This window comes from Homo sapiens, chromosome 7 (assembly GCF_000001405.40).
Source record: "Homo sapiens chromosome 7, GRCh38.p14 Primary Assembly".
In the NCBI taxonomy this organism is placed as follows: Eukaryota; Metazoa; Chordata; class Mammalia; order Primates; family Hominidae; genus Homo; species Homo sapiens.
Genome location: NC_000007.14, coordinates 150,451,295 through 150,472,281, shown reverse-complemented (window position 1 = coordinate 150,472,281; position 20,987 = coordinate 150,451,295). Strand labels below are relative to the sequence as shown.

At 42.6% G+C, this 20,987-nt stretch overlaps 1 protein-coding gene across 2 annotated transcripts in view; it reads right to left on the bottom strand.

The window, feature by feature from the left end:
• Positions 1-20,987, bottom strand: part of GIMAP8 (GTPase, IMAP family member 8) — a 28,764-nt gene that overhangs the window by 7,112 nt on the left and 665 nt on the right. Inside the window, exons 1-4 of one of the 2 annotated variants that reach the window (XM_005249950.5) lie at positions 20,315-20,654; positions 20,073-20,148; positions 4,948-5,611; positions 1,408-1,453 (exon numbers count right to left, since the gene is read on the bottom strand). In XM_005249950.5, the coding sequence (XP_005250007.1) occupies positions 1,408-1,453; positions 4,948-5,583 (682 nt within the window). In that variant the 5' untranslated portion in view covers positions 5,584-5,611; positions 20,073-20,148; positions 20,315-20,654. Of the gene's footprint in view, positions 1-1,407; positions 1,454-4,947; positions 5,612-20,072; positions 20,149-20,314; positions 20,655-20,987 lie in introns of those variants that run through there. The other variant, NM_175571.4, reaches the window with a different exon arrangement.

Sequence of the window (20,987 nt, the reverse complement as noted above, 5' to 3'; positions counted from 1 at the left end):
TTCCTAAGCGCATCCATCCTGGAGCAAAGTCCCACTTCCTGGAACCTTCCTCAGAATCACCTAACATGAGCCCACATCCTATAAAAAGTCCTTCCCTGCCCCCTGTTTCTGACAGCCCTGTGACTCCCCATGGTGTGCTGGGCCCTCACAGCCACAGGTCAATAAACGCACTTTTGTTCAGTCACACGTGTGTTCCTGGGGTCTCGGCCAAAGGGCATTGCCAGAATTTTGAAACCCTTCTGCCTGAGTACACGTATTTCTGGCTGAGTGCACTCAGCTGTGAAATGAGGATGAGGCTCACAACATCTTCTTTACAAGATTGTTACAAGAATTGAACTGGTGTATTTTAAGAGGATTATATATGAATATGCTATGAAGATTGAATTACATATTTATGAAAGTTATTTCCCAGGACATAATGTCAGCTGCAATTTTTTTTTTTTTTGAGACAGGGTCTTGCTCTGTTGCCCAGACTGGGGTAAAGTGGCATGATCTCAGCTCACTGCAATCTTGCGCTCCCAGATTCAAGTGATTCTCATGTCTTAGCCTCCCGAGTAGCTGAGACGACAGGCACGCACTACCATGCCTGGCTAATTTTTGTATTTTTAGTAGAGACAGGGTTTTGCCATGTTGGCCAAGCTGGTCTTGAACTCCTGGCATCAAGTGATCCACCCACCTCGGCCTCCCAAAGTGCTGGGATTACAGGCATGAGCCACTGCACCCGGCCTCAGCTATAATTATTAGCAATACTATTAAAATTATGATTTTATTATTTGGAAGATTTCCATGAGGAAAAGGATCTTGTCTATCTTATTCACGACTGGATACTCAGAGCTTGCACAGGGCTGACCCAGAAATAACCTGCAAATCCATCAGTAAAGGCATGGTTGCATTTGTTTTGTGTGTCCACATTGTGAAACAAACTGCATCTACTATACGGAAGGAGGTAGATCTATACATATTGACTTATGCAGATGTGCAGGATCTATCATTACTGGCAATCATCACCTGAATACTGCACCCCATCAGAGAATTCTCCAAGTTGGTGTTGTCCATGAAGGAGTGATTTCTGCTTTCCTAAGAGGAGTCAAAACTTGGGCAGGGCCGGATCCAAGGCCAGAAAGAAGAGTCTGAGTTAGGAAAGAAGACACAAGAGGCAAGCCCAGCTCTGTAACACTTCAGAAAAGTCCAAGGACACCCTCGCTGGGTCCAGGAACTTTGCTGGTGCTATACCTACTCACAAGTGTTAGGAGTTTCCTAGGGGATAGCTTGTGGGAACCAACCTCAGCTAGGTCCCCAGGGTGAATTTTCTGGTTTATATGGATAATGTTTCCGCTTCACTTTGGCTGCAGAATGCATTCAAAAGAATACAAGTGTGAGCTTAATGTTTCTTAAAGATCAACTTACCCTGTGGCTTGTCTCCCTCTTGAGATGCAGCTTCATTCACACAATCCTAGAAAATAAAGGAACAAAATAGTGCACACAGATCTAAAACCTCATCTTCCACAAACTGAAAAAAAAAAAAAAAAAAAAAAGGAAATTGAAGTATTAATTCAGAATGATCTGCTGAGTCAGATGTGGTCAAATCAAGGCCCTGGTCATGGTCTTTGTTGGTCTTTGTGGACCTGTCCACAATGGCAGTGGATCCTTAGATCCCCTGATGCTGCTAGGACTGGTTCTCGGAGAAGGTGATGTTTCCAACGTCTCCTTCCCTCACTGCTCCCAGTATGGAAAGGAAGCTTATTCTAACCTGAGGTTAATTGTCCAATATAATTTGGAATCCCGTTCCCCACCCCCCCAAGTCTGGCAAATGGAGACAACAGGATAGAGAACCAAACACCTAACTGACATCCCCTTCTCCTGCCTGGGGAATCCTGATACTTAGTTCCAAAATATTTATTGTTGTGGAATCAAGAAAGGAGGTGAAAAAACAGTATGCAATCTTGATGAACCTGCTAGTCTTAGAAACTTCCTAGACTTCATTTTAACCTTATCTTTGTTAAATCTTCATGCCAGCCAAGGAAATCTTCCCTCTGCTTTCTTGCCTGGCTTTGCCCAATATCATTGACACCCTCAACCATCCCTCTCCCTGCATCCTCTCCATTTAGCTGTCATTATCAGATTTCTTTAACCTTACATAGCCCAGTTCAAATTATTTAGTGTTCTCTAAATTCAAAAGATTGTTATGAGGTAAATGTCCATAATATAAAAATTAATGATCTTTGCATTCCCACTCCACCAGAAAAGTAACAGTTGTTAACTGGTATATATACTTCTATCTTTTTCTATGTTCATACAAATACATACAAGCATACATGAACATATGGAGACTTATTATTTGTTCTACAATCTGCTTAATAATGCATTCTGTACATCTGTAGAAGTCAATATAGACAGAACTACATCATTCTTTAAGTAGATAGAATTTATTCCATAGTACGGACATGCGTAACTGATGCAACCATCTTTTCATTGATCAATCTTCGGTTTATTTCTGGTTTTACTGTTTCAAATGATGCTGTGCTAACTATTCTTGTACATATATCTTTAGGTATACCTTTTTTTTTTTATTTCCAGGGCATAGAGTTCTAAAAGTATGGCTCTAACTCAGTCTCTGGGCTGTTAAAGTTCTTAATGATTCCTTAATTTATTTAATCCTCAGGCATTTTCATCATCATCATAATAACAGCATTACTGAACACCTACCAAGTTTCAAGCATTTGTTAACGACTTTGTAAGCATTTCATTTAATTCTCACAGCAATTCCTGACATACATGTGATTATTATCTCTGCTTTACAGAAGACAAAACTGAGATGCTATAGTCAACAAAACAGATATGATTTCTTCTGCCCTCATGGAGTGGGTAGGTAGACAACCAGTGAAATCACTTGATGTGGTGGTGACATTGCCATGAGGAAAGGAAGCTGTGGGGCTCATTCCAAGGCCTGAGAGCCAGGATGGTCAGGGAGGACTCCCTGAGGAAGTGACTTTTAGCTGATGCAGATGGAGAAATAAAAGCAAACCTGGTACAGGGTGGGATGGGGGAGAGCAAGTGTCAGTGCAGAGAGAATCACAGGCTTGAGGCTCAGGAGTGGATGTGAGTGTAACTCAGGGGCAAACAGGAAGGCCAGCAGGACCAAGGCATAGACAGCGGAGCACAGGGCAAGGAGTCAAGCCAAATTAAGAGTTCTGAACTTTACCTTATGATCAGCAGGAAGTCACTGGAGCATGTAAAACCAGAGGGTTTCATTGTAGGAAACTTACTACACACCCATTCTTCTCTTTATTAACATCCCTGTTCCATGCAGCCCTCAAGGAAGAGACAGATTGTCACAGAGGAGGGAGCACTCAGGCTAGGAGATAAGAGAGCAAGTGTCTTCAGCCCTCTTGAGCCTCAGTTTCCTCATGTGTAGAGCATCTGTCCATAGGGTTGTCACGAGGACTTAATTAGTTTATGTCTTTGTCTGGAATTTAGTGGGCATTCAGTAAATGATTTCTCTCTTATTTCCATGCTGCTTGGGCTTATTACTCTTCCCTCTGAGCAGTCTCTCTCTGACCAGAAAGTAACAGTTGTTAACTGGTATATATCCTTCTAACTTTTTCTATGTTCATACAAATACATACAAGCATACATGAACATATGGAGACTTATTAAGTTATATGTTCTACAATCTGCTTAATAATGCATTCTGTACATCTGTAGGAGTCAATATAGATAGAACTACATCATTCTTTAAGTAGATAGAATTTATTCCATAGTACGGACATGCGTAACTGATGTTACGCATCAGGCTCAGTGTGTGCCTGCTGTACACCCTCTGGGGCTTCCCCTTGCCAAATCCTCTGTGCTAGCATCCCCCTCACACTCAGCCAGGAGTGCTTTGTTTCTTATGCATCAGCCACTCCAGTTAAAGTGTAAGCACCTCTAAGGCAAAAGACTGCATTTTTGTATCTTCCTTAGTTACAAATACATTTTCCTTTCACATCAAAAGCTTAAATAAAATCTCACCCTGGCTGTAATGTGTGAGATGGGTTGTGGGATACAGCCCAAGAATACATGAGGAGAAAATCATTACGTTAAAATAGGTTAGGCAAGAAACGATGTAGGCTTGGACCAGGTGGTGGGAGTGGGATGGAGAGAAGCAGGTGGATTCTGGGTATATTGATCCCGCAAGACCTGATGATTTCTTGGCTCTCCAAGGGGAGCTACCAGGGTAGCAGAGCTGACACTGGGGTGTGGGTACAAAGAGCATGGTGAACAGCACAGCCCTTTTCTGAAGCATGAAGGAGAAGTCTTATAGATTTAAAAGAGAAAATCAAAAATTTGGACATATTAAGTGTGAGAAAGTATAAGAGAGACAAGTGGAGACCCCAAGCAGCAATTGTGTAAAGGAGGCAGAACTCAGAGGACAGATTTGGACTAGAGTTACTACTCATTTGAAAACCGTTAGTAGTAGATGAAGCTCAATGCCATAAAAGTGTGGGATCATCTGAGAAGAGAGTACAAAGAATTGAGGAAGGCCAGAACCAAGCCCTGAGGATGTTCATTTTTAGACGTCAGAGATTAGAGAAGGACTCAGCGATCTTTGGAATAGCCAGAAAAAGAGGGAAAAATAAAACAAATGAACAAGGAGAGGGCAATTATATTGAAGTCAGGGGAAGAGAGAGTCAAACAAATCATTGTGTGTTGAAGAATATGAGGGACCAAGTAAGATAAAGGCTTAAATTTGTCCATTAATTTGCTAATAAAGCCTAAAGTCCTTAGGCTGATAATTAAAGTACCCTAAAATCTGATACCTCTTATTCCTGCAAATTATATATAAATATCTTATTAAACAAAACCCATGTTCCATCACACAATGCAATATTTCATTTATTTATACCCACTTTCATCCCACTAGTTCAGCAACATAGAGATCTTTCAAGATATTAACAAAATTCTTACTTGAAACCTGCTGCCTTCAGTTTTGAAGTTCACATGATAGGGTCCTCCGTTCGTATTCACCAAAGACTCAACCTTGCGAAGGAGCTCCAACACCTGGGTGATCTGCTCATCCTTACTATTGGTCTTGTTGTTGAAAATGCAGTATCGGCCCTCATAGTCTTGAACCAACTGCTTGAGAGGTTTGTTTTTTTCAATGAAATCTTGCAGCAAGTCATCCCCCAAATCATCCTTCCGAGTGAAGACAATAATGATGTGCCTCCTGGCTTCAGCTCCAAACACTTGTTGGATGCCCTTGGCTGTTTCCTCATCCTCCCTTGTGAAATGGCCGATGGCAATTACCAAGAGCAGAGCATGGAGGCTGGGAGCAGAGAGCTCCAAGCAGTGTTGGATGTTGCGTTGCTTGTCTTCAGCACAAGCTATTGAGGAGAAAAGGTCAGGGGTGTCAATTACCACAACCTTCCTTTCTCTCAGGACCCAACTCTCTCTCTGGCACATTTTGATCACTGTCTGATCACTGAACTTGGACTTGAACACATGTTTGCCCAGAATGGCATTTCCTGTGGCACTTTTTCCCGAGCGGCATTTTCCCAGGAGGAGGAGCCGCAGTTCGGACATCTGGCAGCTCTGCTCTGACATGCTTTCCTGACACAGGCTCCCGCTTGTTCTGTTGGGACAGAAAACAACACATTAATGTTCAACTCCCACACAGAGTGGACAGGAAAACAGCAAGAAAAGACATTCTCTTTTTGACTCAAATTGCCGCCAATGAATTTGAGCTACTGAAGTTCTAGACCCAGACTAGATTAGAACAAGAAACACTTTCCCAGGATCTTCCTGTTCCCTCATCTCTGAGACAAACCTAGAGATCTCTTTTAGTTCCTTAAATTTTTTTTTTTTTTACCATTAGGAACCACAAGAAGTCAGATATGTTAGAAACCATACTAAATAAGCATGTTTCAAAGTTGAAGGAAATCTCATAATTAATAGTAATGGTCAGATGTTTAAAAAATACAGATCTCTGGGACCCAACCTACACCTATTAAATCAGAATCTCAAAGGAAAGATCCTAGAAATCTGTATTCATCAAATGTCACAGTAATTCTAATGAGTAGCCAAGTTTGGGAAGCATTGCCCTATAAAATGCAATGAAATGTCTAGAGCATACAAGCAAATATAATATATGGTATACATGATACTCTGAAAATAATATCACAGAAGACAAACTAGAAAACTTCATTTGTGGGACTCGTGATGCACCCAGTGCCAGGTGAAGTTAACAGAGAAGCATGATGTGGTGGGTATGACCATGGTCTTGGACTCTGACCTGGTTCACCTTCTGCTCTGCACGCATTAGCTGAGATCTGTAGAGGCCACTTAACCATTCTGAGTCTCAGTGTCCTAATCCATAAGATAGAAGCGGTATTACCTACTTCAAGGATATTTTTATAAAACTCAAATGAGATGACAAATGAGAAAGTACCTTGCAAGTTTCCACATATTACCTAAATGCAAAGTGGTACGATTTCAGTATATAGATAGTGCTGCTTGGATTTAATATTCTCCCTGCAAAGGCTTCCACCTGCCAGGCAAGTCAAACCCAAAACTCTTGAGCTAATGTGCCAAGCTCTTTGCAATCTGTTTCCAGCCCACAGAGTCAGCTCTACTTGTAGCCACTCTCCTCAACACACTGTATGCTCCAGCCAAGTGAACTACTCATCTGTATTTATTTATTCAGGCCCCACCTTGTTTGACATATGTTTTGAGCTGATTTGCTGTACCTGTTCAGTCATCCTGCCTTGTACAATTTCTTCTGGATTGCCCAAGAGACCCTGACCTGAAATCAAGTGAGGCCTGGAAATTCATGGCAAAACTGTCGCTGCGAGGAAAAAAACTCCCCTCTACCATAATCACAGGTTTTCCCTTTAGGGTACATCAGCAAGTAGCTGTGATTCCCACACAGGGTTACACCAGGGATCCTGTGTTCCTCTCTTTAAAAACTTAGTTTCCAAGACTGCAAAGCTGGCCATGATGCCCTCACCTGGGAAGGTTTACCTATGCAGATCTACAAGAGAGTGGCTCTCCCTATGAAAGCTTCGTACAGCACCCTCTTGGATGGCCACCCCTCCATGGTCCATGGTGAAGTCAGAAAGTTATTCATGTTATTTCACACCCTTTCTAGTGTCTCTGCCCCTTGATGGGTTCCCTTCCTGTTCTCACCAAGCCTGCTCCAGCATCCTTTTTGTCACTTGTATGAAAAGACTGAACAACAACAAATAAAAGGCATAGATGCAGCAAGCAGATAAGAATGTGACACACATGAGGACAATGTTGTGGGAGTCCAGGGAGGAGTCAGTCACTGGGACAGATTGGTACCACTCCATCAAAACTGCTCCAGCAGAGGGCAAAGATCCCTTAGCTGCCAATTCACAATGTGCTTACACTCATTATCTGATCACTCTGTGCCATAACCTCTTCATTCTTTATATTTTTCTGATTATGAAGTTTAGTGTTTATTCTAAAGAATTTGGTATATTTAGAAAATTTTAAAGAAAACAATCTGGCTCCATCTGTGGCTCCATCATACATAAATAGCACATTTAACATAAATTGTTAAAATATGCCTATAATTTCTTTTCTTTTTTTTCTGTTTTAGAGACAAGGTCTCTCTCTGTTGCCCAGGTTGTTGTGCAGTGGTGGGACCACAGCTCACTACATCCTCAACCTTCTGGGCTCAAGTCATCTCCTGCCTCGACCTCCAGATTATCTAGAACTACAGGCACACACCACCATGCCCAACTAATTTTTTAAAATCTTTTGTAGAGATGGGGTCTCTCTATGTTGCCCAGGTGGGTCTCAAACTCCTGGCCTCAAGCAATCCTCTGGCTTTGGCCTCACAAAGTGTTAGGATTACAGACATGAGCCACCATGTTCAGCCCATAATTTCCTCATACACACATACATTTGCATCATCTGGCAATAACTTCTCTTGTAAAATATATTTTCATTAAGTAAGAATAACATAGTCCTTAAAATAAGTGGGAAAATATGCAAAATGATGATTGGAAAATGATCTGCCGTCTACAAAGAATCGTATCAATTTGTAGTGTTTTTATTACATGTAAATGAGCATTTTAGGTTCTTTTCCTTTTTATCATACTTATGTGTCCATCTGAAGCTAATGTAAACTCTGTATGAGGAAAGTTTACCCTAGAAACTACTCCAAATATTGAAAATAACAAGTAGTAGTAAAATAATTTACTTTATCCTGCCTATCACTGCTGCCATTGACACCTATACACACTGCCCAGGGGCCTAGGTTCCAGCCAGCTCAGCCCACTACTGCCACCACCAGCGCCCATGCATGCCACTTGGGGGTCTAAGGGCTGGCCCACCACTGCTACTGGCACTGCCAATGCTACATATATCATCCAGGGGCCCAAAGACTGGCCCACCAAACCTGTTGCTGTGGCCAACACACACCACCTGGGAGCCCAAATACTGGCCTACTCGGGTCCTCCACCTGCCACTATCAGTGTTTGTATATGCCACTCAGAGGACTGAGTACTGACCCACATAGCCCATAGTCACCAATACTGGTGCTCATGTGCATCACCCAGGGCCCAAGGGTGAGCCCACTTGGTATCTCTATCCCCAGGAAATCTTACCACAGCCTTCACTAACAACCACAGGCTAAACCACTGAGGAACTTGCAGACATCACTGACATTGATTACAGCCAAAGAAATCATATGAAGACTACACTACTGCACCTACCCAGAATCAAAGCCAAAGCACCCTACCCAATCAACACTAGAGATATGTGTACAGAAAAAAGTCTTTCCCTGTGAAAGCCAATGCATAAAATTGAAAGAAGCAACTGTTACACCAGATGCACATAGTGCAAAAACACAAGAAACATTAAAAAGCAAGGGAACATAGTATCTCCAAAGGAACTCAATAATTCTCTAGTAACAGATCCCAAAGAAAAGAAAATATTGGAATGCTTGAAGAGGAATTCAAAATAATGATCTTAAGGAACATCAACAATATAAAAGAGAACACAGATTGACAATACAAAGAAATCAGAAAAAACAATTCATGATCTGAATGAGAAATTCAATAAAGAGATAGATATTATAAAAAAAAGGAACCAAATGGAAATCCTGGACCTGAATAATTCCATGAACAAAATAAAAAAATATAACCAAGAGCTTCAAAAATAGACTAGATCAAGCAGAAGAAAGAATTTCTGAACTTGAAGGCAGGTCTTTTAAAATAATTCAGTCTGGATAAAAAAAACTTTTTTAAGAATAAAGAAAGCCTATATGACATATGGGACACCATAAAGTAAACAAATACTTGAATTTTGAGAGTTCCAGAAAGATACAAGATGGGAAAAGTCACAGAAAATCTATGTAATAAATAATAGCTGAAAACTTCCAAAGTATTGTGAGAGATGTAGACATTCAGACACAGGAAATTCAAGATTCTCAAATAGATTCAATCCAAAAACATCTTCTCTGAAACATATTGTAGTCAAATTGTCAAAAGTCAAAGACAAAGAAAGAATTCTAAAAACAGCAAGATAAAAGTCTCAAGTCACATATAAAGGAATCTCCATCAGACTAACACCATGTTTTATTAGCAGAAACCTTGCAGGTCAGGAGAGAATGGGATGATATATTCAAAGTACTGGAAAAAAAAATTTTTTGGCCAAGAATACTATACACAGCAACACTATCCTTCAGAAATGAGGAAGAAATAAAGCCTTTCCCATACAAACAAAAACTGAGGTAATCTATTACCACTGGACCAACCCTACAAGAAATGCTTAATGGGGTCCTACATGTGAAAGTGAAAGGACAGTATCTACCACCATGAAAATGCACAAAGTACAAAACTCATTGGTAGAGCAGATATACAAATGAGAATGAGAAAGGAATCAAATGTTATTACTATAGAAAACCACCAAATTTCAAGGATAAACAATAAGAGTAAAATAAAGGAACAATGTGTCAGGCCTCTGAGCTCAAGCTAAGCCATCATATCCCCTGTGACATGCACATATACATCCAGATGGCCTGAAGCAACTGAAGATCCACAAAAGAAGTGAAAATAGCCTTAACTGATGACATTCCACCATTGTGATTTGTTTCTGCCCCACCCTAATTAATCAATGTACTTTGTTATCTCCCCCACCCTTAAGAAGGTTCTTTATAATCTCCCCTACCCTTAAGAAGGTTCTTTGTAATTCTCCCCTCCCTTGAGAATGTACTTTGTGAGATCCACCCCCTGCCCACAAAACACTGCTCCTAACTCCACCGCCTATCCCAGAACCTATAAGAACTAATGATAATCCCACCACCCTTTGCTGACTCCTTTTTCGGACTCAGCCCACCTGCACCCAGGTGAAATAAACAGCCTTCTTGCTCACACAAAGCCTGTTGGTGGACTCTCTACACATGGACATGTGAGACAAAATGGATATACAAAACAATCCAAAAACAACACAATGACAGGAGTAAGTTCATCTATCAGTAACAACCTTAAATGTAAATGGATTAAATTCACCAATTTAAAGCAAAACAATGACAGGAGTAAGTTCATCTATCAGTAACAACCTTAAATGTAAATGGATTAAATTCACTAATTTAAAGGTATAGACTGGCTGAATGGAATATAAAACAAGACCTAACTATATGCTGCTTACAAGAAATTCACTTCCTCTGTAAAGCACATAGAATGAGAGTGAAGGGATTAAAAAAAACATATCGCACACAAACAGAAACCAAAAACATGCAGGAGTAGCTATACTTACATCAGACAAAATAGACTTTAAATAAAAAACATAAAGACACGAAGAAGGTTATTATATAATGATAGATCAACTGAGCAAGAGAGTATAATAACTATAAATGTATGTGCACCTAATACAGACAGGTAAAGCAAATATTATTAGGGCTAAAGAGAGAGCTAGACCCCAATACAATAATAGGTGGAGACTTTAATACCCCAGTTTCAACATTGGACACATAATCTAGATAGGAAATTAATGAAGAAACATAGGACTTAATCTACACCACAGATCATGTGGACTTAACAGATGTTTACAGAACATTTCCTCCAACAGCTACACAATGCACTTTCTTCTTATAAGCACATAGAGAATTTTCCAGGCTAGACCATCTGTTATGTCAGCATTATCCTGATATGGTTTGAGCATATAATTTATTAGCTCCAATGGTGCTTAGGTATCAGTAGCCAATATGGGATATTGTGTGGAGCCTTTGGCAGGCCCTTATAGATAACTCACAGTACAAACCCTAAAGATTTTGGAGCAAAGCCTTGCTATTGTCTATGAATAACTAGTCACCTTTTGAGAAACAGCTTTTGGCCTGCCGCTGGGCCTTAGTAGACACTGAACACTTAGCCATGGGCCACCAAGTTGACATGCAACCTGAGTATACAGTAAAGTCAGGTGTGCACGGAAGGACTCCATCATCCAATGGAAGTGGTATATATGAGATTGGGCCTAAGTAGGCCCTAAATGCACAAGTTACATGAAAAAGTAGCCCAAATGCCCATGATACCTACTCCTGCTATACTGCCTTCTCTCTCCCAATCTGCACTCATGACCTCATAGGGGAGTTTCCTACAATGAATTGACAGAGGAAGAGAAAACTCAGAGCTGGTTTACAGATAGTTCTGCACAATATGCAGGCACTACCCAAAGTGGACAGCTTCATCACTATAGCACCAATCTGGGACATTTCTGAAGGACAGTAGTCAAGGAAAATCCTCCCAATGGGCAGAACTTTAAGTAGTGTACCTGGTTGTTCATTCTGTTTAAAAGGAGATATGGCAAGTATAATTATATACCAATTCATAGGCTGTGGCCAATGGTTTGGCTGGATGGTCAAGGACCTAGAAGAAACATGATTAGAAAATTGGTAACAAGGAAGTCTTGGGAAGAAGTATGTGGGTAGACTTCTCAGAATGGGTGAAAAACATGAAGAAAACATGAAGACATTTAGTCCCATATGAATGCTTACCAAAGGGTGACTTCAGCAGAGGAAGATTTTATTAAAATAATCATCAAATGGATAAAATGACCCATTCTGTGGATCCCAGTCAGCCTCTTCCCCCAGCCACCCCTGACATCATCCAATATGCTGATGAACAAAGTGGCCATGATGGCAGAGGTGGAGATTATACATGGGCCCAGCAACATGGTCTTCCATTCACTAAGGCCAATCTGGCTATGGCCACCACTGAGTGCCCAGTCTACTAGCAGCAGAGGCCAATACCAAGTCCCTGATATGGCATCATTCCCCAGGGTTATCAGCAAGCTACCTATGGCAGATTGATTTCATTGGACCACTTCAGTCATGAAAGAGGGAGTGTTTTGTTCTTATCAAAATAGACACTTACTCTGAATACGGATTTGCCTTCCCTGCACACAATGCTTTTGCCAAAACTACAATCCTTGGGCTTACATAATGCCTTACCTATTGCCATGATTTTCCATACAGGCTTACTTCACGGGAACTCACTCCAAGGAACTCACTTCACAGCAAAAAAAGTGAGGCAATGGGCCCATGTTCATGGAATTCACTGGTCTTACCATGTTCCCTGCCATCCTGAAGGAGCGGAATTGATAGAAAAGTGGAATGGCCTTCTGAAGATTCAGTTATAGCACCAGCTACGTGACAATACCACCTTGTAGGACTGGGGCAAGGTTCTCTAGGAGGCTCTATATGCTCCGGATCAGCATCCAATATATGATGCTGTTTCTCCCATAGCCAAGATTCATGGATCCAGGAATCAAGGGGTAGAAACAGGAGTGGTACCACTCACTATTACTCCTAGTGACCCACTAGCAACATTTTTACTTCGCATCCTCAAGGTCTTATGCTGGCCTAGAGGTCTTAGTTCCAAAAAAAGAAATGCTTCCACTTGGAGATACAACAATGACTCCATTGAACTAGAAGTTAAGAATGCCACCTGGCCACTTTGGGCTCCTCATGCCTCTCAATCAACATCAAGAAGGGAGTTTTGGTATTGGGTGGGGTGATTGATCCTTACTACCAAGGGGAAATTGGACTACTACTCTACAATGGAGGTAAGAAAGAATATGGAATACAGGAAATCCCTTAGGGCATCTCTTAGTGTAGCCACGTCCTGTGATTAAAGTCAATGGAAAATTACAACAACCCAATCCAGGCAGGGCTACTAATAACTCAGATTTTTAAGGAATAAAGGTCTGGGTCACCCTCCACCTCCCCAGATAAAGAACCACAACCAGCTGAGCTCACTGATGATGGTAAAGGGAAAATAGCATGGGTGGTAAAAGGAGGTAGTTATCAATACCAGTTATGACCACGTGACTAGTTACAGGAATGAGGATTATAATTGTTATGAGTATTTCCTCCTTACTTTGTAATGAATGTATGTGTGTAAAATATCTCTGTTTTCTTCCCTCTCTTATCCCTCTAACATGTAACAAAAGATGTATTGATTTTATATTATAATATTTAAGTATGGTTAACTTTACATCATAGTACTTAAGTTACAGGATATCAAAGAGAAGGATAAAAAGACTTTATTTCTTTTTCTGGAGAAGGAATTAGTGCATATCAGTTGTATGCAGGACAGTTGTATCATGTTAGATGGATTTATGACCTTGTTATTGTCTTTAATTGGGAGATTAAGTGTCATTTATGGAGAAGTGTATGGATTCCAGATGGATAAGGTGAGGACATGTGCTGGTTAATTTTGTGAGTCAATTTGTCTGGGTCATGGAGCCTAGATAGTTAGGCAAACATTATTCCAAATGTTTCTGTGAGGGTGTTTTGCGATAAGATTTACATTAAAATCAGTGGACTCTGAGTAAAGCAGATTGCCCTCACTTGTGGGGGTGGGCCTCATCCAATCAGTTGAAGACCTGATTAGAATAAAAGGCTTACCTGCCCCAAGCAAGAAGGAATCATTTGGCAGATGGCCTTTGGACTTCATCTGCCACATTGGCTCTTCCTGGTTCTACAGCAGGTTGCCTTTGGACCTAAACTGCAATTCTTTCCTGAGTCTCCAGCCTGCTAGCCTCCCCTATCAGATTTTGGTCTCACCAAGCCTCCACAATCATGAAGGCCAATTCCTCAAATAAGTATCTTACACATACACACACACACACACACCACACACATCATTCATTCTGTTTCTCTAGAGAACCCTGGCTAACACACATGGGAAAGGTGCTAAAGTGCTCAGTGCCTTACATCTAAGCAAGACAGAAGTGGTGAGGAGGTGAAGGAGCCAGGCATATGGCTCTCTGAGGAAAGAGTGTTGCAGGCAGAGGGAGCAGCAAGTTCAAAGGCCAGGGCCTGTTGGGGAAGGAGCAGGGAAGGCAGTGCAGCTGGAGTGGAGAGTGGCCGAGTGCAGCTCAAAGAACTGCCCATGAGCAAGGTGGAGCCTGTGGAGCTTGCTGGGGCTTTGGCCTCAGGATGTCTGCATCTCTTCAGACCTTAATCTCATCAGACCTTCAAGATCTTGCCAATCTGACAGGGGTAAAACAGTATTTCACGAATGTTTTCAGCTGTCAGAGTTTACGTTTTACATTTTTTCATGTGCTTGTTGGTTATTTGGACTGGCCCTTCTGTGAATTTTTAGTTAATATTCTTTTCCCAGTTGTCCCTATGGATATTTAGTATAATTTATTGCTTTGTAGAAATGATGTATATGTTCTGGTTACTAAACCTTTGTTGATTCTACACATCTCATAGATCTTTTCACAGTCTGTGGCCTATTTTTAGGTTTCTAAATATGTCTTTTGTCATACACACAAAAACACTAAATTTTAATCCACTCTTATCAACCCTTTCTTTCATAATTTAAGCATTGTTGCTGGGAACAGGCCCCAAGCCTGTCCATAAACAGGCCATGAGAAACTGGCCATAAACAAGATCTCTGCAGCACTGTGACATGCTCATGATGGTTATGACACACACGCTGGAGGTTGCTGGTTTACCTGAATGAGGGCAAGGAACACCTGGCCCACCCAGGGCGGAAAATCGCTCGAGGTGTTCCTAAACCACAAACAATGGCATGAGCAATCTGTGCCTTAAGGACATGTTCCTGCTGCAGATAACAAGCCAGAGCCTGTCCCTTTGTTCTCCTTAAGGAATACTTTTAGTTAATCTATAAACTGCAGAAAAGATATTTATCACGGGATTACTGTCAATAAATAGGTGGGTGAAACTCTGTTCAAGGCTCTCAGCTGTGAAGGCTGTCAGCCCCCTGATCCCACTCTGCACTCTGTTTCTGTGTCTGTGTCTTCATTCCTCTAGCACCACTGGGTTGGGGTCTCCACGACTGAGCTGGTCTCAGCACACTGTGCATTTTTTAATTTAAAAATTCTGTTTTTATCATGACATCAAAGAGATATTCTTTATTTTCTTCTAAATATTTCTTACACAATTTAGAACTTTAATCTCTCTGGAATTTGCTTTTGTGTATAGTATGAGGTAGGCAACTAATTTTAACATTTTTCCATATTGAAAAAAATGACACTGTTGATTGGCTAAACAAACTAATCCCCTTCTCTTTTACACATCGCCCACTATAAATGCTGGAGAGGGGGAATCTAAGTACTTTCTGTTGTAGACAGAATGGTCGCCCAAGGTGTCCACATGCTAATCCCTAGAATCTGTGGCTGTGTTACTTTACATGGTAAAAGGGGCCTTGCCAATGTTATTAAGAATTTTGAGACAGATAATCTTGGATCATCCAGGTGGGCTCAGTGGTCTGTAGGAGGGTCCTTATAACAGGGATGCAGGAAAGTCAGAGTGAGAAGGAGACAGGAGGACAGAGGCAGAGGTCACAGAGACAGAGGGACTTGAAGATGCCACATTGCTAGCTTTAAAGACAGAGGAAGGAGCAGGAGCCAGGAGTTGAGGGGATGAAGGTGGCTTCTAGAAGCTGGAAAAGGTGAGGAAATGGATTATTCCATAGAACCTGCAGAAGGACCATATTGCTGCCCAGAAAACCTTGATTTCAGCACTTTTGACCTCCAGAACTGTAAAATAAATTGGTGGGGTTTTAGCCACTAAGTTTGTGGCAATTTGTTACAGCAGCAATAGGAAACTAATACACTCTGTCTCCCAGCTTCCCTTCTAACTAGGGTTGTCTATGTGACCCAGCTCTACCAGATGACAGTTACATGAAAGTCTGCTTGGAACTTCTGGGAATATTAGTACTATTTCCTTGGTGATAGAGACAGACTCAAGTAGACAGTTCCTGTTGTCATCTCCTCCCACTTCTTGCATGGGATTGAAGTGTGATATCTGGAATTGTGGCAGATAGTATGGGGCAATAAGGTCACAAATATTAAAACAAAAAGTCAACCTGTGCCACCAAGCAGAAAGATAAAAGGCACCTGGATTTCTGCTGCTGTCACTGAGCTCCCAGAATATCCCAGAGACCAACTCTTTGTTAAATGAGCACTTAATATTCTGATGATTTAAGAGCTTGTTAATCAAAGTGCAATTCACAGAGTAGCAACATCGCCAAGAACTGGGATCTCATTAGAACTGCAGAATCAGACCCTGCCCCAGATGTACTGAATCAGAATCTACAATTTAACAAGACCCAGGTTATCCTCGTGCACATTCAAATTTAACAAGCTCTGGTTTAAGCCACCTTTAGTTAAAAATGAGCATTCCTAAATGATCCCACATGAAGAGTCAAGCTTCCCAGCACCATTTACTAAATAGTCCATGATTCCTCCAATGATTCTATCAGACGCCAAGTGCCCGTAGGTCCACAGTTCTATCCCTAGGTTCTCTGTTTTGTCCATTGGACTTTTAGTGTATTCCTGAACCAGAACATCTTCATTTCTAAATGCCAATATTACTTAACTCCTGTAACTTTAGTATAACTTTAAAATAAGTCTTAGTTAACTGACTGAGCAACTCCCAACACCTTGCTATTATTCCAAACTGTCTTGGCTCCTCTCAGCTCTTTAATCTGGTATAGGACTTTTAAAAATCAGCTGTCAATTTCTTTAAGTCCTGTTGAAATGCTGAATGCCATTGCATTGCATTTATAGCTTTGTTGTTGTTTTCCCTCCATTTTTTGTTGTTTTTTCCTCCATTCTTTTTTGTTGACCAGTTTTTTGTTTTTTGGTTTTTTTTTTTTTTTTTGAGATGGAATTTCGCTCTTGTTGCCCAGGCTGAAGTGCAATGGCACGATCTTGGCCCACTGCAACCTCTATCTCCCGGGTTCAAGCGATTCTCCTGCCTCAGCCTCCCGAGTAGCTGGGATTACAGGCATGCGCCACCACACCTGGCTAATTTTGTATTTTTAATGGAGATGGGGTTTCTCCATGTTGGTCAGGCTGGTCTCGAACTCCCAACCTCAGGTGATCCACCCGCCTCAGCCTCCAAAATGCTGGGATTACAGGCGTGAACCACTGCGCCCGGCCTGTTGACCAGTTTTAAATATGTTCTAATTTCAAGTATGATTTCTTTTTGACCCAAAAGTAAGTGATTACTAAATTTAAAAATGTATTGAGACATCTACTACCTTTTTATTTCAAATGCTGCATTGTGGCCAGAGAACAATGTCTGTATAAACTATTTGTCATTGGTTGAGATTTGCTTTTTGGCTCAGTGAAATTTTTGTAAGTGTTCCTGTAGGCTCAAAAAGAATGTGCAGCCTGTTACTGTGGTACCTTCCACAATCAAGGCCCCATCTCTCCACTGACACCTTAGCTACAGCTTCCCAGATGGTCCAGCACACCCTTGCCTGCACCCCATCCTCCTGTCTGCCTGGAACGTTCCTACCCATTCTCCATCACTTAGCCCAAGGACTCTGAGGCTCCATGTCAAGCCTTTCCTAACTTTTCCAGATTGAACTGGTCATCAGCTCCTCTTTGGACTTTTGCAGTAATATTAACACTGCTCCCCGGTTTCCACCCTTCTCCAGCTGTCTATTGTCCACCAATAGCCACAGTTCTCCTCTCCTGTTAAAACAAGAGACAGGTAATGTCACGCTTCATTCTAAACCTCCCCCCACCCCCAGTGACTCTCCACCCATTCAAAGTAAAAGGCAAAGCCTTTATAGTGGTCACGAGACCCTACCTTGTGCCCAGCTGCTCTCTGACCTCATCTCCCACCCCCTTCCCCTCACATTGTGTGCCATAGTCACATCAGCCTGCGCTGTACTTCAAACATGCTTGCTGTTCATCTGAACTGGGGCATTGTCCCTTGCAGACATGTGCAAGACATGTGCCTGAGCACTTCCCTTAGGTCTCTATCACACTGTCCCCTTAGTACAGGAGGCCCTCTCCAGCCTCCACCCGCTATTAAAGAGCTGTCCATGCCTCTGTGCCCCACTGACACCCCCACCCCATACCTAGCACCCGCCACTGCCACCCTAAGAGCTGTCCACCCCTCTATGCCCCACGGGCACCCCCGCCCCATACCCAGCACCCACCACTGCCACCCTAAGAGTCGTGACTCCTCTGTGCCCCCCGCCCCGTACCCAACACCCACTACTGTCACCCTTCACATCTGCATTTAGTTGCTTAGTGCTTTTTAGTCTGCCACCACTACAGGTGAGTTCCATGAGAATAAGGACTTGCTCTGTTTTTCTCACCACTGTATCTACAACATAAAGAAAGTATCTGATAAATACTTGTTTCTGAGTTGATGGTTATTGACTTGAAGAACAAGCAAAATGCAGCAGATACGCCGAAGAAAGTGAAGAGTGGGAAAGCCCTTTTTCTGTGCAGCAATTTGGTGGTTCATACCTTTTCAAAAAATGGGGTCTGTGGCACTCAGGGGAGAGGCTGCACTGCAGGGAATGACCCAGGGAGGTAGTAAAGGCAGTGGCAGGGCCCACTTTCGAAAAGGGCGAGGCAAAGCCCACAAGGGCCTTGGCAGAGGCCTCTCTCTGGAATCATCTGGATGGCTGCACGGCACGGGGCAGAGCCCACCGCAGCTTCAGACACCTCAGAACCTCAGAACCGGTCCACCAGGGGAAAAATATTTCCGGTGGGTTCAAACCTAATCAGCACCGGGGATCTTCTAAGAGCATCTTTCACCCAGATACACCCTATGGAGAGAAGCTCTCACACTAATGCCCTATCTCCTCTCTCTCCTCAATTTTCTTCATAACATTGATTCTATCTGATATTATTTATATTTTATAATTATTTATTAATTTTATTTTTAAATGTCTAAATGTTCTCTGTACTACCCTTGGTACAAAGCTCCATAACAGCATGTGCTGAAACTCCAAACATGCCTGTTTTGTTCTGTGTCCCCAGGCCCTAACATTGTGCCTGGCATGTAGTATATGCCCAATACGTGGAGGTAAAGGAATGAACGATCACAGGAGAGACAGAAATGTGAAGAAAAGAAGAAAAACGGTTTTTAGAACTGAGAGGGAGGCCGGGCGCAGTGGCTCACGCCTGTAACCCCAACACTTTCAGAGGCCAAGGCAGGTAGATCCCTCGAGATCAGGAGTTTGAGACCAGCCTGGTCAACATGATGAAATCCCCGTCTTTATTAAAAGTACAAAAATTAGCCAGGCATGGTGGTGGGTGCCTGTAGTTCCACTCGCATGTATATATATATATATATATATATATATATATATATCTCACACACACACACACACACATATACACACATATATATACATATATACACATATATACATATATACATACATATATACATATATATACATATATACATACACACACACATATATATGCAAGTGAAGTGAGATGTCTCTGTAAATTAATTTAAGAAAAAAAGACACTAGTGAGAAAACAGCAAGCTGAAGGAAGCAGAGGCCTCCCACAGGTCTGAAGAAGAAAGAAATTTCTTTCCCAATTAAGCGACACAGCCTTGCATGGTTCCCCAGCAGAGTATGACCAAACCAATGAGTCTTGGCTGGACTCCTGCCTGCAGCTCCACATGATGTCAGGACCTACACACACACACCCACATACACACACGCACATGCACACTCCTACCACACATACAGCTTCCCAGCCAGTAGCACTTCACCCCAACATGTAGAAAGTGCACTTAAGGACAAAAAGGTACCCAAACTCACCCTCACTCACGCTCTGCCAGCCCACATTTCCCTCTGCTCAATTTCCCAGGCCACTCTGGAGACCCCAGCAGAGCAACTGAGAGAAAAAGAGAGCGTTCTTCCTATAATTCACTGAAGACTGTAAAGGCAGCCTCTGCCTCCTTCTCAGGAAACAGCCCAAGGCAAACGTGGACTCAGGCATCTGAGCACAGCATCCAGCCATGCGGGGATTCATCCCACATCTAATCGCAGTTCCCACTTACAGAGCAGGGTGGTTGGAGATGCCTCCAGAGCCCAGCGTGGGGAAGACCTTAGACCCAGCCCAGCAGGGCAACCATCAAGAGGAAGGGAAGAGGTTAACTGCTGAGGACCAGGTTGGCTGAAATGTAGGTGAAATCAGAAATATTGCTTTTGGTAAGGTCTTGACCCCTCCAATCCCTCCAATGCCCAGTTCACAGAATCCTAACTGTGCAAGGGGCAGGAAAGATCAGAAAAGCAGACGTGGAAAAATCAGCATCCCCCACCCCCTGCTTTGCGGGAGGAGCTCCGCTGGCTTCCTCCTGGGGGCTGCTCTGCGGCACCATCTAGCTTCATGGGGCATCTGACCGGCTGCTTCCGCCTGCTTCTTCCTCCCTTCTGCCAGTCTCAGCCCTCCTCCTCTTCAGGGCTCACACCCACTCCCCGACACGCCTTCTTTTAGGACAGCCACTCTCATAGATGTCTGGGAATATGCCTCTGTCCCCATCCTGCCGAATCTACTCCCCAGCAGGCTGGGGAGACACGCTTTGGACCAGGAGGAAAGCTTCCCAGGGCCCCTGCCATTCAACTCTGCCATTCAACCCTGCCATTCAACCCAGCCTCCTCTCCCATGGCTGAGCAGGCTGCCTTCCCGGTGCCAAGCCCATCCTCCCCCACAGCCATGCACCAGTGCACACA